General features: G+C 36.6%; 1 annotated feature.

The window, feature by feature from the left end:
* Nucleotides 823–2022: an enhancer, noted in NCBI's record as "CDK7 strongly-dependent group 2 enhancer chr7:49164279-49165478 (GRCh37/hg19 assembly coordinates)". NCBI's record gives its function as "activates an origin of replication core promoter dependent on BRD2, BRD4, P300/CBP, MED14 and CDK7 cofactors, with strong dependence on CDK7, by STARR-seq in HCT116 cells {active_cell/tissue: HCT116}" and the evidence as "EXISTENCE:reporter gene assay evidence [ECO:0000049][PMID:35650434]".

A 2955-nucleotide genomic window follows, 5' to 3' on the forward strand; every position in this document is an offset into this window, starting at 1 on the left:
CATTCCATGAAAAACATACTTGCACACACATATTTATAGCAGCACAATTACAATTGCAAAAATATGGAACCTGCTCAAATGCCCATCAATGAACAAGTGGATAAAGAAAATGTGATATATACGTGTGTGTGTGTGTGTATATATATATACCATATATATACATGTCATATATATATATATATATATATATATACACATATATATACTACTCAGCCATAAAAAAGAGAAATAATGGCATTTGCAGCAACCTGGATGTGGATGGAATTGGAGGCTATTATTGTAAGTGAAGCAACTCAGGATTGGAAAACCGAACACCACATGTTCTTACTCATAATTGGGAGTTATGTTACGAGGACACGAAAAGCATAAGAATTATACAATGGACTTTGGGGACTGAGGGGAAAATGTGGGAGGGGAGTGAGGCATGAAAGACTACACATTACCTACAGTGTGCACTGCTTGGGTCATGGGTGCATGAAAATCTCAGAAATCACCAATAAAAAACTTATTCACGTAACCAAATACCACCTGTTCCACATAAACCTATTAAAATAAAAAATGAATTTAAAAAAACAGATTGTAACCCAGAAGTAGTACCCAGTTGACCTGACATTTTTTTCTTCAAAGTCAAGATGTTCATAACAAATATTTAAAAAAAAAACAGAGAGAGACTTTTGTGCTCCTACCTAAAAACAATTGCTGAATTGTGTAGAGAGGACAGAGAGTGGAGTATAAGATATGTCATGTTCCTGAACTATGCATCAAGCTCCAACTGTTTCCAGGATGGACCACTGAGCAGAATCACTTGCAGGGCCATTCCTTATATTTTCTCACATTCTCCTCCTTTGACAATCCTACTGAGAACAAAAGCCCAAACAAACAACTGCATTAGCATTTTTCAGCTCAACAGTTTCTAAACTCTAACATTATTGAATCCCATTTCTTGATAATTGTTCCCATCATTAATTCATTTCTATGGTTATCATTTTCCAGAATTAAAGATAACATTATTATGTAAATTTCAGACCCAATTACAATGAGAGCTCTTTTGGACACAGTGCTTGGGGCATCTTATCGGAAGACTAAGGTTCTTGATGAACGGACATATAGCGGGGTTCAGCATCCACATCCTGCCAGGGAGGATGAGAAGACTGTTTAATGAAGAGATTATAAATCACAAGAAAAGTGAAGTTAAAAGAATGAGACATTGCATAAACATCCTATGAATCAGCATATAAAATAATGCCAAGGTATTTATATTCATTAGCAACAATGAGATAATGCTATTGTTCTTTCTGACTTAAGTGTTTAATCATTTATGAGAAGACTTCTATAACAATTTTTTAAATTCTATTATTATTATACTTTAAGTTTTAGGCTACGTGTGCACAATGTGCAGGTTTGTTACATATGTATTATAACAATTTTGTCTATGTTTATGATGTTCTGTATGAGGTGGAAAGGAAGGTACACATGAATAACTTCTAAAAACGATGGACACTTGTTATAGAATTTATGTCCATGAAGGGATTTGGGAAAACCCCTTGCTTGCCTCAAGGAAAAACACTGTTTAATTCATCTCGGACAGATCAACTTTACCAGGCAAGAGTGCTTAAACAGAGGCAGGAGGCTGTAGGAGGAGGGGCAGCCCTTTTCAGCTGTCCAGCAAGCTTGTCTGTTCGGAAATGTTTCTTTTCCCTAACTGTAATCTTCATGCTATTGTCTATCATCTTCATCCCCTGATTTCAGGCCAGTGTTGAACAACTCACTCACCTTCTTCTGAAGCCTCTCAGTACCTGAGCAAGAGTCAGTCTTCACCAAGACTCAAGAAGAAACTCCTCCATGTGGTCCAAATCCGAGGGCAAAAAAAAAAAATCACCACTGCAAACTATGGCCTTGGATAGCCTTCAAGAACTTCCCAGACACCGTGTGTCCACAGTTGCCTTGTCTCCCATCCTCGTTATTTAAAGGAGTCAGGAGCCTGTACTCTCAGGGCTGCCACCTTCCTGAACTCTGTTAAACTCTGCTGAGATCCTTGCAGACAGTAGTCAACTTGCCTTTAATTTAGCACTCAAGATTAAGGTTTGTAAACTTTTCTTAGCAAAATGCTTACTCTTTGGATGAACTTTGTCTTCTAAGAAGAAAATGCACATCTAGTAGGTTAGGGACACCAAGAATTTAGCCTAGGGATCTATGTGGAATTTTAATAACTCTACATTTTGATACATTCTAACGAAATTTGCTTCCATTTTTTATAACTGCTGTCTAAACCAAATATTAATTGGAACTTATGATATTCCTATAAACCATTTTTCTTTCAAGTTTGTATGCATTGACTATAATAGTTCTAGAAACAGGCATTTATAAAAAGTGGCTCTGTCATCAAAAGGGTTGCAAAAGTTTGCATGCTATCAGTTTGTTAGGAAAGTCACAATGCCTATTAGTATATTAAAGACATTAATACATTTTGCAGAAGAAAAACACGTTTAACTCATTGAAACCAACATTGTTAAAATTTATTTTTGTGATGGATTACCCAGTAATCCATTAACTATTAGGCCAAGAATAGTATTCTAAGACCTACTTAGGAAGCAAATTTCCAGATCACTTCTTGAGCTTACTATTTTGACTTCTCTCATTCCAAGGCAAACTCTGATTCCTAAACAGGTTAAGACTTTTCTACATCCACTTGCCTATATCCTTCACCTCTATATTTCTTCTTATCTGTCTACTCTCTGAGGTTAACCTGCACATATGTATTTCTCATAATGCCATCACATCTGCGGCATGTTTAGGACTTCCTCATCGATGTCTAACTTGGGTACCATCCTAGCATGGCACCCTCTCGACAGTGAAGATACCCTATGCCTGTGATGCTCAGTATTCCCAGTCCTGAACACAGAGCTTCTGTTATGTTTTCTTTTGTTAATTCTGATTAGCACCCTCTCTCTATTT

The sequence above is a fragment of the Homo sapiens genome, chromosome 7 (genome assembly GCF_000001405.40).
Source record: "Homo sapiens chromosome 7, GRCh38.p14 Primary Assembly".
Lineage (NCBI taxonomy): Eukaryota > Metazoa > Chordata > Mammalia > Primates > Hominidae > Homo > Homo sapiens.